Source organism: Homo sapiens, chromosome 8, assembly GCF_000001405.40.
Source record: "Homo sapiens chromosome 8, GRCh38.p14 Primary Assembly".
NCBI lineage: Eukaryota > Metazoa > Chordata > Mammalia > Primates > Hominidae > Homo > Homo sapiens.
The window spans coordinates 40,113,006-40,132,589 of NC_000008.11; the positions used below are offsets into that span (position 1 = coordinate 40,113,006).

General features: G+C 39.2%; 1 long non-coding RNA gene across 5 annotated transcripts in view; it reads left to right on the forward strand.

Moving 5' to 3' along the window:
- LINC02866 (long intergenic non-protein coding RNA 2866) overlaps positions 1–19,584 on the forward strand; it is a 69,001-nt gene that overhangs the window by 8,936 nt on the left and 40,481 nt on the right. For 4 of the 5 annotated variants that reach the window (NR_186440.1, NR_186439.1, NR_186438.1 and 1 more), the window contains 2 exons: positions 12,437–12,648; positions 14,076–14,168. This is a non-coding gene — a long non-coding RNA (long intergenic non-protein coding RNA 2866). Of the gene's footprint in view, positions 1–1,623; positions 1,869–12,436; positions 12,649–14,075; positions 14,169–19,584 lie in introns of those variants that run through there. The other variant, NR_186442.1, reaches the window with a different exon arrangement.

The window sequence follows — 19,584 nt, forward strand, 5'->3', positions numbered from 1 at the left end:
ATAGACAAGCAAGCTGAGAGCTTGCACGGTGAATGCCAGCAGGAACTAAGGACTAGACATGTTGTAGATGGCAGCTCCATCTTCCCTTCCTTTTGTCAGTCACTTGTACTATAAGGAGCAAACAAGATGGCCCGGATCAACTGGAAAGTCCATTTGCATAATATAAGATTAGGGTGGGGTGACCAGCCTTCCTCGCATGCTATGTAAACATCATACCTGATTGAACCAATCTGTCAGCCCTGTGTAAATCAGACACCACCTCCTCAAGCTCGACTATAAAATCCCGTGCATCTGCTACTATCTGGTCCTTTCCACTTGGAGACCCCTTACTCTATCTCCTTCTCTTCTCTTCTGCCTATTAAACCTCCACTCCTAAACTCTTCGTGTGTGTCCATGTCCTAAATTTTCCTGGCAGGCAACAACGAACCCCAGGGCATATATCTCAGACAACATAGCTGCTTCAATACCATTCACCCCTTTTTCTGTTAGATATTCATCTTTTTATTTAACAGTTCTTTATACATTACAAATATCAATCACTGCCCATCTTATATGTTCCCAATATGAAATCTTGGGCTTTACCGACAAGGACCTGGGTCACAAATAGGTCTCACAAACTGTGCATGGTGAAATAACCGATGCTGGGAGAGAACTCTACAGAAACCAGATCTTACCAAATGGAGGTCCCTTTGAGGACTCCATATTTATACCATAAAGGCAACCAATTACGTTGCTCATGGTTGGAATTTATTTTATCTTTTCCTTTACCCAGAAATGGAAGAGTTCTGGTGCCTGTGCATTGGTTTGCATCTGTCTCTGTCCTTATGTTCAACCCTTCTCTGCAGTCTTTTCTGCGAGAAACAACAGAAGAAAACAATGTCTCCTGGAGTTGCATAGTAACCAAACAGTCCCCGCTGATGGTTTATGAGCCTGACACATTATATTAACAGAGTTTCCAACACCACAGAGGGACCAATTTCTCTTAAAACTTTAAGATAATCATCCCATTAAATCATGCCAATCCGACACAAGGAATCTGACAAGCAAAGTGTCTACTTAAATGTTATACAAAATAGATAACTCTGAATGCTAAAATAACTACTTCTTTTTGGGTGAAGCCACAGTTTTCTTGTAAATAATTTCTTAACAGCCTCTATCATTTATACCGTCATATAAAGTAGGTGGATTGCTTGGAAACGTTGTAAACTCATTGACTTTGGGGTTTCGTTTTTGTAGTATTCTTATTTACACAGGATCTACCACTGAGCCTTGATCAAATGACTTCATTTTTGGCCATAGTTGTCTCATATGTAAAATGTTACCAAATTGTTGAACTGTCTGAAGGAAGGAAATCAGAAGAGAAGCTTGCCTGCCTGCCTGTCTTCCTTCCTTCCTTCCTTTCTTCTTCCTTCCTTCCTTCCTTCCTTCCTTTCTTCTTCCTTCCTTCCTTTCTTTTTTTTGAGACAGAGTCTTCACTCTGTCCCCAGGCTGGAGTGCAGTGGCATGATCTGGACTCACTGCAACCCCCGCCTCCTGGGTTCAAGCAATTCTCCCGTCTCAACCTCCCGAGTAGCTGGGATTACAGGCGCGTGCCACACCCGGCTAATTTTGTATTTGTAGTAGAGAAGGGGTTTCATCATGTTGGCCAGGCTGGTCTTGAACTCCTGACCTCAAGTGATCTGCCCGTCCCAGGCCTCCTAAAGTGTTGGGATTACAGGCGTGAGCCATTGTGCCCGGCAAGAGAGGCTTTCTTAATTTCCCTTCTCAACGACCTGTTAATTAATCTTCCTCTTCAAACCCTGCTATTGGTGAAGCCAGTCGGGTTTCTTACTTTGCTCTTTTGCCGAGTCAGGAGCCAGCTGGAATGGGTAAGTAAACCATGAGACTCCTACATTTCATAACTGTAGCAGAACACTTTAAATATGTTTATTTTTGTTTAAAAAGATGCAAAGTCATCACCTACCCCACTGCTATAAAGGTATAAAAATGCTAATGTAATCTTTTTAAATCTGTTATTGCTTCTCTGGGAGGAATATGAGGTAAATCGAACCTACACTGATGCAGCAAAATTCAAAGCATTTGACAGAAGTTCATTTTCCTTAGTCGCCACCAGGCAATGATAATGGTTGTAAACAGCATATGCCAGATATCTGTATCTTGTCTTTTGGAGGGTTCCAGCTTACCTTCCATCTATCTGTTCTTCTAAGAATGAAAGTTAATCTGCTTTTTCACAGAAGTCATTTTTTGATAGTTGTTATACATAATTTGAACAGAATTTAAGTATGTATTCTTATGTGACTTAACTTAGAGAATATGTTATAGTTAACCCTTTCACTCTTTTGCTTACAAGCCTGAAAGTCGAAAATGTGTGAAACACTTGATGTTCTTCTTTACTTTCTTCAGGTATTTAATTTTTCTGAGTGTCAGAAATTTTATCTTCAATGGAACATATGTTCCCATCTGCCCTTTTTGTCTCATCACTAAAAAACACAGTGTCAACATTTATAGGAAAAACTCTCTCTGCCTCACAAAGTTATCTCTCTCCGCCTCACAAAGTTGTTATGATACTCAAAGGTATAATAACATTAATAAAACTAGCTACATTTATTAAACTCGGTTGTATAATAAATAATTTGACTGGTCTTTGTCCCTGGTTCCTGGAAGGGAGACTCTAAATTCTTGGAATTTTCTAAATGATAAGAGTGCCTTTGTTATTCACAATGGATCTCTGGGACCACACTTACATGTCAGCACAATCTCCCAGCCTCGGTGGAAAAGAGGGGACTGGAGATTGAGTCCAAAGACGTGGCCAGTGATTCAACCAATTGTGCCTGTGTAATGAAACCTTAATAACTGTGGACCCTGAAGTTTGGTGGAGCTTCCTGGTTGGTAAACATATCAGAACACGTTGTGAAATACAACAGAAAAATTACTTCTCGAATTCAAGGGAATATAAGGTATATTAAAAGTCTGAAATAAAGCAAGCTGTAGTTTTTTCTCGGCAATGAAGAGGTCATTCTTGTCTGTGTTTCCCAGGTCCTCTTTCCTGAACTGAGGCCTACCCTGTTATAGCACTGGTAATTAAAATCATGTCAGTGAGAGACACTTAATGATTATGAAATCTTTTCATCTTAAAACTGTGATGTGAGAACAAGACCCTGCAATATATAAATTATATGCAAATGATAAAGAGAACATGCAAATTGAAAACTTGGAAACTAAAAGCTCACACATAGCCCAAACATTCCTTAAATGAAGAATGAAATTTCCCTTCTAGAAACTGAGAGATACTATATCCAAAGATTTGACCTGCTTATTACTCAGATGACTGTGTTTTACAGTTAAAACCCTTGGATAAAGCTATTTCATATAGCAAGAAAATAAAAATTATCAAAGTTGAACCTACTGGCTGTCACTTTGCATGCCAGAATTCTGACAGACATCCCTGAGTAACATCCACAAGCCCCAAGAGATGAATACTGGAAGATTCTTTAATATTAGATTCCTCCCAAAATGACGGATGAGAGTCAGATCTCACCCGGGAGAAGCATCATGGGAAATAACCAAGGTGCCAAATAAGAAAGATTAAATCCATCCAATTTTACATGAGCTAAAGGAGAGCTCATTGAGCCTGAAGAAATAGGCAATAATATGACAAAGAAAAATAAAGAGGGTAGGAAAAATAGAGGGCAAGAAAAATAACTTGAATAAACTGATTTTAAATCTATGAAAAAATTGGACTTTCTGCAAAAATAATTTCCAAGTTCAAATTGTTGTTCAGAGGAGCTGAATTGGAAAGTAAATTATATGCAATGGACATGAGCAACAATCTCAGTTTATTACAATAGCCCTTTTAATGCCATCTCTATCTGCACAGGTTTGCCAACTCACTATAACCTTGAACATCACAGCAGTTTGTTTACTCCAACTGTTTAAACCCTCACTAATTTGTAGCAATTAGTAGAAACCTAGCTTCATTCTGAATGATGGATTTTTTTTTTTTTTTTTTTTTTTGAGACAGAATCTCACTCTGTCACTCAGGTTGGAGTGCAGTGGCGTGATCTCAGCTCACTGCAACCTCTGCCTCCCACATTCAAGCAATTCTCCTGCCTCAGCCTCCCGAGTAGCTGGGATTACAGGCACGTGCCACCCTGCACGGCCTTTTTTTTTTTTTTTTTTTTTTTTGAGACAGAGTTTCACTTATATTATCCAGGCTGGAGTGCAATGGTGCGATCCCGGCTCACCACAACCTCTGTCTCCCGGGTTCAAGTGAATTATCCTGCCTCAGCCTCCCGAGTAGCTGGGATTATAGGCATGCGTCACCACGCCCGGCTAATTTTGTATTTTTAGCAGAGATGAAGTTTCTCCATGTTGGTCAGGCTGGTCTTGAACTCCCAACCTCAGGTGATCTACCCGCCTCTGCCTTCCAAAGTGCTGGGATTACAGGCATGAGCCACAGCACCCGGCCAATGATGTAATGTTTTAAAGTCATGTGACCTGCATCAGGCTGTCTACGCCAGTGTTCATTAGTTAAGATAATAGATCACATACTGTAGTCAACAGCCTAGAGGAAATTCTCCATTAGAAGTGTTAGAAGATTGAATGAAATTATTTCTTTTGTCTTACCAGTTTTCTTATTCTGTAATTTGGATAAAGCATCATAATTGTCCATTAAATCTTTAATGTAAGTAAACAGTTTTTCCTTTCAAGTAATTTTAAACATCCCTACGTTAAATTTTAATTTTATTATTCATTTTGTAAGCATTATATCAATAGTCATGAACACTTGCCAAAGTTTTTCTTCTCAAACATTGTTTTCACTGAATCCCTGAGTGTATCTGAAGATTTTGTGTTTCCCAGTCATCAAGCTCAAACACCTTCCATCATGTTGCCTAACTTAATTCTTAAAATGCTACCAGTTCTCTTAAAATCTCTTAATATTTTACAAATCCTTTTACAGCTCTTAAAATGCAACAAATTCTCTTTTTTTAAGACAAGATTTTTAATTTACTCTTCTCTGCCAACATGTATTTAGCTCGATTCCAAGGTTTTACACATGCTGTTTCTTGCTAGAATTGACTTTTTCCCCTTTCTAATTTAAAGGCTACATAAACATTAACCCCCCCAAGTCACTCATCCCCTTCTTGGTGAATACTTTTCCTTTTTTTTTGAGACAGAGTCTCACTCTGCTGCCAGGCTGGAGTGCAGTGGCGTGATCTTGGTTCACTGCAACCTCTGCCTCCCGGGTTCAAGCGATTCTCCTGCCTCAGCCTCCGGAGTAGCTGGGACTACAGGCATGTGCCACCACGCCCAGCTAATTTTTGTCTCGTTCTGTCGCCCAGGCTGGAGTACAGTGGCGGGCTCTCGGCTCACTGCAACCTCCACCTCCCGGGTTCACGCCGTTCTCCTGCCTCAGCCTCTCGAGTAGCTGGGACTACAGGCGCCTGCTACCACGCCGGCTAATTTTTTGAATTTTTAGTAGAGACGGGGTTTCACTGTGTTAGACAGGATGGTGTCTATCTCTTGACCTCGTGATCCACCCGCCTCGGCCTCCCAAAGTGCTGGGATTACAGGCGTGAGCCACCACACCCGGCCAATACTTTCTTAACTATAGTCTGTGTGGCTTACAGTCTAAGTCCTTCATGGTCTTCAGTTTCGTTTATATGAACGAGAAATTATGCAAGTTCTATGCCATATAGTTCTCAAGTTGGTTGTCATTTATTTAAGACAGATACCATATTTTAAATGTTTTTTTCTCCCTGTAAATGGATAAGAATACTGTTGAGTGCATGATATTGTAAATCGTGGATGACTTATACAGTATTTTCTTAATTTGATGACATACACACTTAGCAATTACGTGGAGTTATTCTAATATGATGAAAAGGCTGGGATTCACTTTCCTTGAAAATGACAAGTGGCCATAGGAGGATGCTCCCATGAAGACCTGGCCCCATAGTTCAGGTGAGTGGGAAGATGCATACACGTACCACGCTTGTATGTCCAAACAACAGAAGAGGAAAAAGCCACCTCCCTAACTTCCAATGACATGATTTATAGAAGCCACCTGAAACTTGACACGAGTATGTCTGGAATAGTGGCACCAAGGCTCCAGCAGAACAATAAAGTGCTTGCCTCTCTTAAGCAAGCTGAATCCAAAAGTCCCAGAGAGGGAAATACAGGATTTCCCCTGGCTGTCAGCACAGTGAGTCAGCGTCTCCTGCACTAAACAATGGATGAATACACAGCCACTTAGAGACCTTTCATCTTTATCCTTTTTTAGCAAAGCATGTGCCTTCTTTTCATAGGTAGGATCACTGACGCCTCACGCTCTGCCCCCTCTTCACCATCATCTGTTAAACAGGAAATCTGCAACACTCTTTTCAGTAAACGGGAGGGGTCTGCTGTCAACCAAAATGAAGGCAAAAAGTTTTAACTCAGGCCAGTCTTTCTGAAGCTGGGTAAAATGATAAGGAAATGGAAAGTAACACCTGGAAGAACTGGTGATCTGCTCCAAAGGCAGACATAATTCCTTATGAGTGAACTAAATTTTATCTGGAGGCCATGCCCTGGATTGCTTAAATGCCTGTTTACACAGGACATTTTAGACATGGTTACTCAAATAAAATATAAACCTAAAACCTGGAAATTCACCTCTTTAAAAGAAATGCATGGACCATAGTTTTCACATGAATTCTTCTATTTTTAAACCCAGCATACAAAAGAGGAGAAAATTATATTTTAAAATTCATACTTCTATGGACTCAATGCCATCATTCATCACTACTCAACAACAGCCGTGAAAACCTACCAATCCAAGCAGTGTCAGCCCAATGTCATGTACTCTACACTATTCTCATCAACATACAGAGAGGAGGAGAATAAGTTTAAGTCAGGGTATCTACCTTAAATGAATGACAGATGTTAAGTCTCACTTTCTTTTCTTTCTTTTTTTTTTTTCAGACAGAGTCTTGCTCTGTCACCCAGGATGGAGTGCAATGCCACGATCTCAGCTCACTGCAACCTCCACCTCTAGGGTTCAAGTGATTCTCCTGCCTCAGCCTCTTGAGTAGCTGGGATTACAGGTGGGCACCACCAAGCCCGGCTGATTTTTAATTTTTGGTAGAGACGGCATTTCACCATGTTGCTCAGGCTGGTCTCAAACTCCTGACCTCATGATCCATCTGCCTCGGCCTCCCAAAGTGCTGGGATTACAGGCGTGAGCCACCACGTGTATGTCTCACTTTCTATGTTACAACATGGCACTCTTCTTTTCTAGGAAAAGCTGAAAAACTTGAGTATAATCCACACAGGGACCTAATAAATGCTCCTGAACACCAGTCAAGGGCATCATCCCTAGGTCTGTTGGTTAGGAATTGTACTTGTCTGCTAGTGTCAAAAACCCCGAACTCAATGGCTTAAGCAACATAGGGTTTGTTTATTTTTCTCATGGGAGATTGGTAGTCAAGTGCTGGTATGGAGGCTTCACAATTTCGTCACAAAGTGAGTATTGCTTTAGTTTTGTACTTTCCCTCCTTAGAGTATGACCTTTATCCTCACTCTCAAAAGGACCTCAAGAGCCATCATGCAAGGAAAAAAGGGAACATAGAAACACTTCATTATCTAGTTCATGACGTACTGGAAAAAAGTATGTCAGCTGCATTCATCCTATTTATTTATTTATTTGAGACAGGGTCCCGCTCTGTTGCCCAGGCTGGAGTGCGATGGCACGATCATGCCTCCCTGCAGCCTTGAGTTCCCGGGTTCAAGTGATCCTCCCACCTCAGTCTCCGCAATAGCTGGGCCTTCAGGCGGGGGGAGGGGGGTGCGATGAGTACCTTTTAAAAAGCTTTTCTGGAAATCCTACTCAGTGGTTTCCTCTTTTACATAAATGGCCAGAAAACAGTCACCTGGACACATCTCACTGCAAGCAAGTCTTGGAGAATATGATGTTAGGCCTTTTTAGAAATGAAAGGGAGGAAATAGGTAATTTGCAAGCTACAGTTTCTGCTATGATAGAGAAGTGCACTGCAATGCCCATTCCTGCTCAGAAGCCTGTCTAGACAGTGTCGTATCAAAAGCTCCTCTGTTTCCCCATGAAGTACTACTTAGTTAGCAGCTGGTTTCAAAATAATAATAGCTGCCATGCATGGAGCATCACTTCAACTTTATGTGTCCTATGTTTAATTTTGGCAATAATTATTCATTTATACAATACTTTTAACAATCATTAAGAAAATAAAATTCTCCTAGTGTTAAATGTGCATAAAAATATCTAGATCATGAGGTGTTTCTATGTTGCCTTATGTTCATTGTGCTATCCTGCATTATGTAGGATCCCTGTAGCTCTGCCCAGTTAGATGTTAGTTATTTCTCTTTCAGAAATAGTGTCTAATGGCTTGCACCAACCCAGGGACATTTCAAATATCACAAAAATAACATTGGACAACTTTTCTCAAGAGACTTCATTTCTGTTTTCCCTTGTCAAGTCACCTTTTTATATTCTTCATTTATGCCTTTAGGTCTTAAATGATATAGGCATTTTCTTCAGAATTTTCATTGTGATGTAAAGTAGTTAAGCCTTTCTTCCATCACCCATTAAGTGGAAAAACACATTTACTGGGAAGCATGTTGTAGGAATCATTTATTTTTGCTTCCACTTGAACTCATGTTGATGCGTAATACTTAGGGTTAGAAATGTAGAGCAGTCAGTTGCATTTAATTTCAGGAATCTCAACTTGCCCACTAATGTATATCAAGTTAATCCTCATTATTAAGATTTCATATTTGTGAATTTCCCTACCAGCTAGAACGTATCTGTAACTCTTCAATCAATACCTGTAGTGCCGTTTGGTCATTTGCAGACATGCACAAGTGGGGAAAAACTGGGGTCTAACAAAGTGATGTTCTGCTCTTATGTTCTGTACTCCCTATTAACAAGTGTACTTTTTCCAGTCTGTTTAGAGCCACCTTTTCTGCATTTTTGTTCCTTTTGCTGGTAATTTTTCTGTTACCCTCACCCCTACAGGATAGTGTTGTTCCGTCCTCCTAAGGGCAAGGAAGCTGACATTTCTCTTACAGAGAAAATACGTTCATAGGCAACTTTGTTCAAGAATGTATGTAGTGCTGCTGGCCAGGAGTTCAATGTTAATCATTCAACAATATATGTTAAATAATGTGTTTTTAAGCAGAGACACACGTAAAATAAGGTATGTATTGATTTGTTGATGAAAATGTTGTGAGCAGAGGCTCGTGGGACCCTCACCCTACATTTCCCCTAAGAGCAGTGATTCAGTATTCACAAATTCAGTGTTCCTGGTGACTTTATAGAACATAACTACCACAGATAACAATAATTAATAGTTTTTGATTTAGGTGGCCCCTACATTAGACCTTTCACAATCAAACCAGAAGATGCAGACCTTTATTTTTCTTGATTTCATGCCTCCACGGTCTAACTACTTATGTTACGAAACTCAAGAGGTCATTATTCTCAGCTATAGAAAAAGAGCCCACAGAAAAAGGAGATTTTTCCAACAATCCTTTTTTGAATAATAGGATTGACAGAATGTAATTTTGTGCTCTTTTAGTGGGTGTTGGAGTCCGAATCTTTTTCATCATTTCTGTTTTCCAATTATTATCTACATGGAGCTACTTTTCATAGAAAAACAGTCTCTTTCTAATAGCACGCATAGGTAACTCTGGTAGCCAAGGGTATCCAGTAATTCTAGCAGGTGGTGTCACTAGAAGCTGACCACCATACTACATTCTTCCTCTCTCTTTCTTTTCTTTTCTTTTCTTTTTTTTTTTTATTTGAAATAGGGTCTTGCTCCGTCACTTAGGCTAGAGTGCAGTGGCATGGTTATGGTTCACTGCAGCCTCGAACTCCTGGGCTCAAGCAATCCTCCTGCCTCAACCTCCCATGTAACTGGGACCACAGGTTCATGCCACCATGCCCAGCTAATTTTTTTACTTTTTGTAGAGATGAGGTCTCACTTTGTTGCCCAGGCTGGTCTCAAACTCTTGGCCTCAAGCAATTCCCCCGCCTCAGCCTCCAGAAGTTCTAGGATTACAGGTATGAGCCACTGTGCCTGCTACATTCTCTACCTTCTCTTCTTTATCTCTCTATCTCTCTTCCTTTTTTACACACACAGAAACCTACTCAAGGCTCCGCTCACTTAAGACCATTCAACACCACTAATTTATATAATGAAAATTTACCTAGTATTCACTGTGGACTATGTAAATAATTCTGGGAGATAAAAAAAGTGACTGATTTCTCAGGAAATGTAGGGTCTGATGGAGCAGTAACCAAGAGCAATCAAGAAATATTTTTTTAAAAAGAAAGAGAAAGGAAGAGAGAAAGAGAGAAGAAAAGGAAGGAAGAGATGAAAGAAGGAGGAAAGAAAGAAATAACGAAAGAAAGAGAAAGAAAGAGAGAGGAAGGAAGGAAGGAAGGAAAGAAGGAAGGAAGGAAGGAAAAGAAGAAGGGAGGGAGGGAGGAAGGAATGAAGGGAGGGAGGGGCCGGGCAAGGTGGCTCACACCTGTAATCCCAGCAGTTTGAGAGGCTGAGGCAGGTGGATTGCTTGAGGCCAGGAGTTCAAGACCAGCCTAGCCAACATAGCAAAATCCTGTCTCTACTAAAATACAAAAATAAGCCAGTCGTGATGGTGGGTGCCTGTAATCCCAGCTACTCCGGAGGCTGAGGCAGGAGAATCGCTTGAACCGGGAGGCAGAGGTTGCAGTGAGCCGGGATCATGCCACTGCCTTCCAACTTGGGCGACAGAGCCAGACTCCATCAAAAAAAGAAAGAAAGAGAGAAAGAGAGAGAGAGAGAGATAGGAAAAAGGAAAGAGAAAGAGTACACTTATCTTTGAGCCCTTTTGCCATTTGCTTCTTACCTAGATAAAGCTGCAAGCCTGTGAGCAGCACTGCCTGCAAAATGATATAAGAGAGGGGTGTGTGTTTGCAACTGTGTGTGTTTGCATGTGTTTGTGTGTGAGAGCATGTATCCTCAGCTTTCAGTTTCTTGGCCCTGTATAAAAATATTCTAGACAAGGAAGTTGTTTTTAAAAACATATGAAGCAAGGCCTTCTGTGTGAGTTCATGGTTGCTGATTTCCACCTTAATTGGGAGTTGTTTCATGTTGCCTGGTGAACACTTTGCAAATGTCACAAGTTTCAGCTTTGTGTCTAAGATTGGTAAATCTCTATAATTTACCTAAAGTCACTGGTAATTTATCTTGTCTTCTACTGTGCTACTAAGAACTCAGGAGATGGCACTGAATTTATGGGAAGTATCAGACGATTAATTCTCAATGAGAATCTCAAATTCATCATATTCTTTTTTTCTGATTGTGCATAATGAGATTAACTTACCCACGTATAAGATAAGGAGAAGCTAAAGACTGGTGTGCAAAACTCTAGCTTAGAGTGTTCAGGGGAGGAGTCATGCTTCTTTTGAGGATTTTCTGCCATCTTCCTTTACATTGTCTGTAGTACTCTGTTACGTGAAAAGGAGCCCTTAGACATTGCTCTCTTGAAAAATCATATAATAGCCTTGAATTTCATCCAACATCTCTTTCGTAATTCTAAGAGCTCAGCTTTGCACAAAAGATAAAAGACAAAAGCAAAACAAAACTACAAGCCAAAAAAAAAAAAAAAAAGACAAAGGGAAACAGAAATGAGTCAACCAGATGTAGAAAAAGAGAGAAAACCTTGGCAACAGCTATAAAACTACCACAAAAAAACACATTATATTTCTATTCAACCTACTTCCAGAAGTTATTTGAGATACTTAAATTGCCCTATCTAATGCCTAAGTTGGTGCCTGACCTACAAAATTAAATGTTAAATAATTAAAATAATGAACAGAAAATGTAAAAAGTCATAACGAAAGGGAAGCAGTTATTAAGCCAGGAAATGTTGACTAAGGATATTTGCAAAAATTGAATGTCACAATTTAATTGTGAGTTTCTTGCAGCTGAAGCAAAAATTGAAAATCTGTAACATACAAATTCCTTATTACCCCATGAATTCTGAGGAAACCATTACATCAAGAGATTCCATATCCTCTTAGAGTTTGGTCTCATAATAAAAAGTCCATTGTGTGAATTATGACTAGAGACATCAGATTTTAATCAATGTGTGCCCTTCTCCTGCCTTCAACTATATAAACAGAGCACAACTACCTTTTGTTTGAGCATTTTTATTGGAAGGTGATAGTGATGAAGTCCCCATTGCAGTCCAGAGATGCAGGGTGCCAGGTCCCTTGATGGATCTCTGATCAGCTGACTGTATTAGTGTGGGGCAGTGCTTGGTTTCAGCTCACCCAGCTTTTCCAGCTTCCACTGGATCTGGTCCTTTTGCTTCTTTGGACCACAAATCAGGTGTATGTATGCAAATCTGCAGCAAAGTACCCTTATTTCTGTTGCAGGTCACTGACACTGTCAAGTTCAGAGGTGGTGAGAGACACAGATTGCAGGTATCTTTGTAAGTTCCAATTCGTCCCCCACACCAGGTTCAGCTTGTCTTTACTCTCCCCTGAGTCACTTCGAGTTTGGTTCTACTGATCTACAGGAAGCTTCTTCCCACCACTGAATTCAAGGGACAGTCTTCCCATATGTCTTTACCAGCTCTCGCAAATGAGTAAGGTCTAATTCCTATAAAAAATTTCTTATTCCATGTCATTCTTAGTAGTTTTGTTTGCCTGATTTGATACCTAAGTTGCTCCATCCAATGCCTAAGTTGGTGCCTGGATACTGTCATAATGTAAAACTAAAACATGGAGCATTCTCTGTGGGACTATACAGTGGGCAAAAACTGGAATGTCTTTGATAGTAGCCTTAAAGGATAGTAAGAAAATTGTCATTGAACACTGAATACAAAGAAATTTGTGTTATGTAATGGCAGAAATTTTACCAAAACTATGGTCTGTGGTAACATGGAAAATAGAAAATATGACTAATGAAATAGAAATGCCAATTAATTTATTTTAGCTACATATGATAAAGTATCAATAGATAAAGATAAGCTAAAATAAAGTACTATGTCTGTTTTTAAGCAGAAGTTTGAAGCAATATTCAGGAGTCAGGCCTTGATGGATTTGAAACTAAAACTATTTTTTTATTTCTAACTTCTCTACATGGAAAAAGACTCTCAAAGTAAGAAATAACCTCAGGGTAAAGAAAAAAAATCAAGAGTTTCGTTATAAGACCCTGTATTAAAACTTCAAAATGATTTAAGTACATGCCTCATAAACCCTTTCAACTAAACCAAAAGGTGTCTGAGAAATATAAGGGTTTTGTCTTACAGCATCCAGATTCTCAGCCTAAGCCAGAAATGTGGAGGAATGGATTTTGTTTAATGGAATGAACCCTAACAAGATTTACAGAAAACCTACAAGGCGTTTTACTATAATTATACTAGCAGAAGCATTCGATGCTTGGATTAAAAAGGATAGAGACAAAAACATCTTTGAACTCCTAACTTCCTGAAGGAAGCAATTAGAGAAAGTTACTCATCTGCAAAAAATAAGCCTTTTTTTTTTTTTGAGACAGAGTCTCGCTCTGTCGCCCAGGCTGGAGTGCATTGGCACCATCTCGGCTCACTGTAACCTCCGCCTCCCGGGTTCAAGCGATTCTCCTTCCTCAGTTTCCCAAGTGGCTGAGTTTATAGGTGTGAGCCACCGTGCCCCACTAATTTTTGGATTTTTAGTAGAGATAGGCTTTCACCATGGTCTTGAACTCCTGACCTCAGATCATCCTCCCACCTCGGCCTCCCAAAGTGCTAGGATTACAGGCGTGAGCCACTGCATCCGGCCTAAAATAAGCCATTTCTTATGAGAAAGAAGAGATATTTCAGAGAGCAGAGCTTAGAGTCCTGACAGCAGAACTAAGATCAACAAAAAAACAGATCCAAGGAGCATCTAATTAAGATATTAATGATACATTTCTGATGAAATTTTGAAATTGCTGTGGACTAATGGCTGCTATATGTCCCCTATTTCTTTTCTTTTTCAATGAGAGTGTCTATTTTAATTAATTTTTGTTTTTATTTTTATATTTATATTTTAGAGACAGAGCCTGTCTATGTCATTCAGACTGGCCTCAAACTCCAGGGCTCAACAAAGCCTCCTGCCTCAACTTCCCCAGTAGCTGGGACTACAGGTATATGCTCAGCTTCAATTATTTTTGTATTAGTTTGCCAGGGCTGTTATAACAAAGTGCCACCAACTGGGTGGCTTAGACAACAGAAATTTATTGCTTCACAGTTCTGGAGGCTGGACGTCCAAAATCAAGGTGTTGGTAGAATTGGTTCCTTCTGAGGACTGTGAGGAAGGAATCTGTTCCAAGCCTCTCTCCTTGGCTTATGGATGACCATCTTCTCCCTGTTCCTCTTCAGATTGTCTTTCTTCTATGTATGTCTGTGTCAAAATTTCCCCTTTTTATAAGAATGCCAGGTGTATTGGATTAAAAGCCCACCCTACTCTAGTATGACCTCATCCTATTTACATATGCAATGACTCTACTTCCAAATAATTTCACATTCTGAGGTACTGGGGATTACTTCAACATATGAATTTCGAGGGGCACAATTTAACCAATAACAATTATTTTCCTGATCACTCTTGTATGTTGGGTGTGTGCACAGGAGCAGCTAACTTGTTTACAGGTTTTCAGACAGGAAGAAAATGTTCTTGAGGAATTGTACCCATAAACCTCTTCTACATCTGCATTTGATTTGTCTGAAGAGATCCTAGATTTCAAGATCACTGCATTGGGATAAAATTACAGGGATCTTAGAGGAGTGGCAAGTGTATTTTGCAGGTGGGAGGGATGTGAATTGTTGTGGACTGAGGAGGTGGATTCTGGCAGACTGTAACCAAGGAGAGCCACAGTATCCCATCCTGCATGATCTTCTGGACAGGACCTTGCCACTTCTCCATCAAAAGTTGTGGTCTATTATCTTTCCCTTGAATCCTTGCTGACCTTAACAAACTCATTTGGCCAATAGAATGTGGGAGATATGACAGTCTAATATTGATGACTCAAACTCATGTAAGCATCATTACAGCCTCTGTCTAGATATCTTGGAGAATTTGTTCTTGGGGGATTCCTTTTTGGAATCCATTTACCTTAGTGTGAAAAGCCCATGGAAAGACCATATTCACAAGCTCCACCTACATTTCCAGCCAATGCCAGCACGATCTTTCAGACACGTGAATGAGTTTATCTTGGGATATGCAACGAATTTGAGCTTTTAGATGACTGAAGCCCCTAACAACGCCTGCCTTCAAGCATTTGAAAAATTAGAATAGAAAACCACGTAGCTCAGCCCAGTTCCTCTCAGAACCACAACATTTACAAATAGTTTTAATGCATTACCATTCAAAATCTCACAGACGTGTGTGTGCGTGCGTGTGTGTGAGTGTGTGTGTGTACTGGTAAAAGAGATTTGAGGAAATGTTCAAGGATCATCTGAAAAAAAAAGAAGAAAATATATTAGCAAAGAAAATTTCGAAAACAAAAGTAACGATGGGGGATTTACTAGTAAATTGAAACATTTTCAAGCTACCATAGTCAAAATGCTGACACTGGCACAGAAAGAGAGACATTATAGCAGGAGAGGGAGAGAGAGAGAGAAAGAGAGAGAGAGAGGAGAACTCTATAGTTTACTTCAAGATGGAATAAAAGTTAACTATAATAAATACATTATTTTCAGATAACTATACATTTAACTATAATTAGTGAAACCACAAAATAGAGTCTGTGGCTATAACCTTAGACATATCTACCATATTCTCTCTGCCAGGTTATACTAATAGCCTCCTATCTTGCTCTTTTGCTTCTATTTAGACCCACTTCCAAGCCATTTTTCCACCAAGCAAAGTGAACATATCATCTTCTCACTGGAAACTTTCCAAAAGTTCTAAAGTTGGAAATCCAAACTTCTCCTCATGATTTATAAAGAACCATGGGATCTGGTCCTGTTATATTCCCAAGGTTGCATTCTGCATCACCTGCTATACTTGAGTCAGACTGGCCTTCTTTCTGTCGTGGAACCCACCAAGCCTGCTCTCATTTCCAAGTCTTTGCACTCACCATTATTATCTCTCCTTGCAATGAGGCTTCCCACACATGCCTAGGACTGTCTCTTTCTTATCATTTGGTTTCATTTCTAATGCCTCCTCCTGAAGTCTTCATCTGAAACTAAGTTTAAACATGCACCCCTCACATGGATGGGCACTCAATTTTCAATTGTCCTATTTTTTTTTTCTTCGTGAACCTATCACTATCTGAAACAGCTTGTTTATTTAATTAGTAGACCATTTATGTTGATTATTGTAAATCTGCTGTGACTAGATTGCAAACTCAACGAAGGTAGGAATTTTGGCTCCATCATTTTTACAACCCCAGCACCTAGATCAGTGTCAGCTATGTAATGGTCACTTGGTAGAAATTTCTAGAATCATTTTATGGTGAGGATATTATTTCCAATATACAAATTGAAGAAAATACAATCAGAAAGATTGATAAACTTGTCTGTAGACTTTAAAAAATCTACATTAAAAATTAAGAATAAAATTATAAGATAATAAAGAAAAGTATTTGCAAAATGTCTTATAAAAGGACATTAAAATAATAAAATTTCATTTTTATTTAGGTAGAAATCAGGTGTATGACTGTATGCTGTATGTGTAGAGGGGATATAAATATACTTCTAGAAGGAATGGGAAAGCCTTAAAAGTATTCATGCACTTTGACCCTGCAATTCTACTTATATGAATTTTCCCTTGAGAAATTAATCAGATGTAAATGAAGATTTATGGACACCAAAGTTTACTGAAAAAGCTTTTATAAATTAACAATAGCTAATTTGACAATAAAGTGCTTGTTATTTTATAGCATCTCCATTTAATTAAATGTAAGGCTGACACTTAAAGTCACGGTCACAGAAAAAATTCACATAGAATGAGTAAAAGAAACCAATATTTATATAGCCCTAAAATAAAGCATGATATAAGCTATATATTGCATAACATATGCTCCTAATTTTTAACAGCATATCCATATTTCTGTGCCTCTGTTTTTAGGCATATGTGCACACAAAACCGACTAAAACAAAATACATCAACAGGTTAACAGTTCCTATTTGAGGCTGGTAATATTGTGACTGGTTTATACTTTTTGTATTTTCTAAATTGTTTTTATAAACTTCTATCACCTTTATAGTATTTTTTTTTTTTTTTTTTGAGACAGGGTCTCACTCTGTCACCCAGGCTGGAGTACAGTGGCACAATCACAGCTCACTGAAGCCTCAACCTCCTGGGCTCAGGAGACCCTCCCTCTTTAGCCTTCCAAATAGCTGGGACTACAGGCGCACACCATTACACCTGGCTAATTTTTGTATTTTTTGTAGAGACAGGGTTTCACCATGTTGCCCAGATTGGTATTGAACTCCTGGACTCAAAGTGATCCTCCCACCTTGGCCTCCCAAAGGGCTGAGATTACAGGCATGAGTTACTGTGCTTGGACATAATAACTTTGAAAAAGGAAACAAATGATATGAAAAACAATTATATGTTATGCTCAGAAAATTAGGGTTATTTATCTATGATTATATAGTATATTGTGATGGAAATTGGAAGGTTTTGATTCTGGAAGCCTGAGTTTTGCCCACTGGAACAAACTTGATTTTTCTGCACAAGCACCCTCAATGATACTCAACACATCTGAGAGGCTGTATAGTTAGGAAACCAAAAGTAATATCAGTTCAAACTTAATTAAGCAGATGACATGATAAATTAGAGCATAAACTGCCACACTCATTTTAGGAGAACCTAAACTCAGATTTGAAAATGAAGTTATTTTCCAAGTCGTAGGAAAAATCACAGTTGTTTGGGAATATCCTATCTCATTCTTTAAGCAATGGGGACAGCTAAAAGTAAATGAATGGGATCTTTTTACCTGTTATATTTGGTTTAGTTGGCCTTCTCAATTCTTCTTGGATTAACTAGTTATTGTTATCATTTCAAATATAGACCTTTGCTATAAGAATCACACAAACATATTACGTATTCCTCAAATGTGATACAAAATCAAATTTATAATAAAGGCTTTTATTTAGACATTATCTCAGTTTAGTTATACTACTAAATTCACCAAGTTCATGTGTTCATTGAGCAGATATTTGTATATCCAGGCTATCTTCTAGGTGTTGGGTGAAACAGGTAAATAAACTTTGCACTTTCAAATATTTATATATTGTATAAGGATAAGCAGATATACATATGATAAACATGTATATATAAACATTATAAATGTACATATTTACTACATATGTAATGACTTAAACTGTTTCAGAGAGTGATAAATACTATGAATAAAAAAACTGAATTATGCAATAAAGAGTTGGCTGTGGGGGAACCAACCACAAATCACTTGAAAAATATTTAAAATATATGTTACTCATCTCTCTAAATCCTGTTAGACTTTTAGTCTAATTTATGATTCTCCTTCCTCGACTGAATTTGTATGTCTTCTCTCTCTTTTATAGAGCTGTTCTCTCTCTGTTCTGTTAGGTCTAACACAGCTAGAAAATTCTGATTGAATTCTAAATTAATTTCCTGGGGCTGCCATATGAGTTATCACAAAGTGGGTTGCATAAAACAACAGAAATTGGTTTGTTTGTTTTTTGAGATGGAGTCTCACTCTGTCACCCAGGCTGGAGTGCAGTGGCACGATCTCAGCTCACTGCAACCTCCATGTCCTGGGTTAAAATGATTCTCCTGCCTCAACTTCCTAAGCAGCTGGAACTACAGACACACGCCACCATGCCCAGCTAATTTTTGTATTTTTAGTAGAGACGAGGTTTCACCATGTTGGCCAGGCTGGTCTTGAACTCCTGACCTCAAGTCATCTGCCACCTTGGTCTCCCAAAGTGCTGAGATTACAGGCATGAGCCACCATGCCCAGCAAGAAATTTATTTTTTCATAGAAATGTATTCTCCCTATTCTGGAAGCTGGAAGTTAGACATCAAGATAGCAGCAGGACACGTTCTCTCTGAAGGCTCTTGGGGAGAAATTTTCCTTTACTTCTGCTAGTTGCTGGTGGTGGCTGGAAATTCCTGAAATTTCTTGGCTTACAGATGTATCACTCCAATACATGCCTTCACCTTCACATGGCCTTCTTCCCGGTGTGTCTGTGTCTAAAATTTCCCTCTTCTTTTAAGGATACCGTTAACTCATTAGGGCCCATCCTAACCCAGTATGCCTTTAACTTGATTTGATTATATTTGCAAGGACTATTTCCAAATAAGGTCATATTCACAGACTTTGGAGATTAGGATGCAAACTTATCTTTTTGGGGATACAATAATGGCCTCTATGGGAAGGGACCATTAGAATGAGGATCTGACTAATGAGAAAAAGAAAGCCCAAGGCAGCCCCGGGGAAAAATACTTCCATGTAAAGGACAGTATAAAAATCCTAAAGATGTTAAGGTTAAGAGGCAGAAAGACCAATGTGACTAAAGGGGGTTGTGGGGGGACAGGGGGGTGGTGCGGGGGGTGGAGAGAGAGAG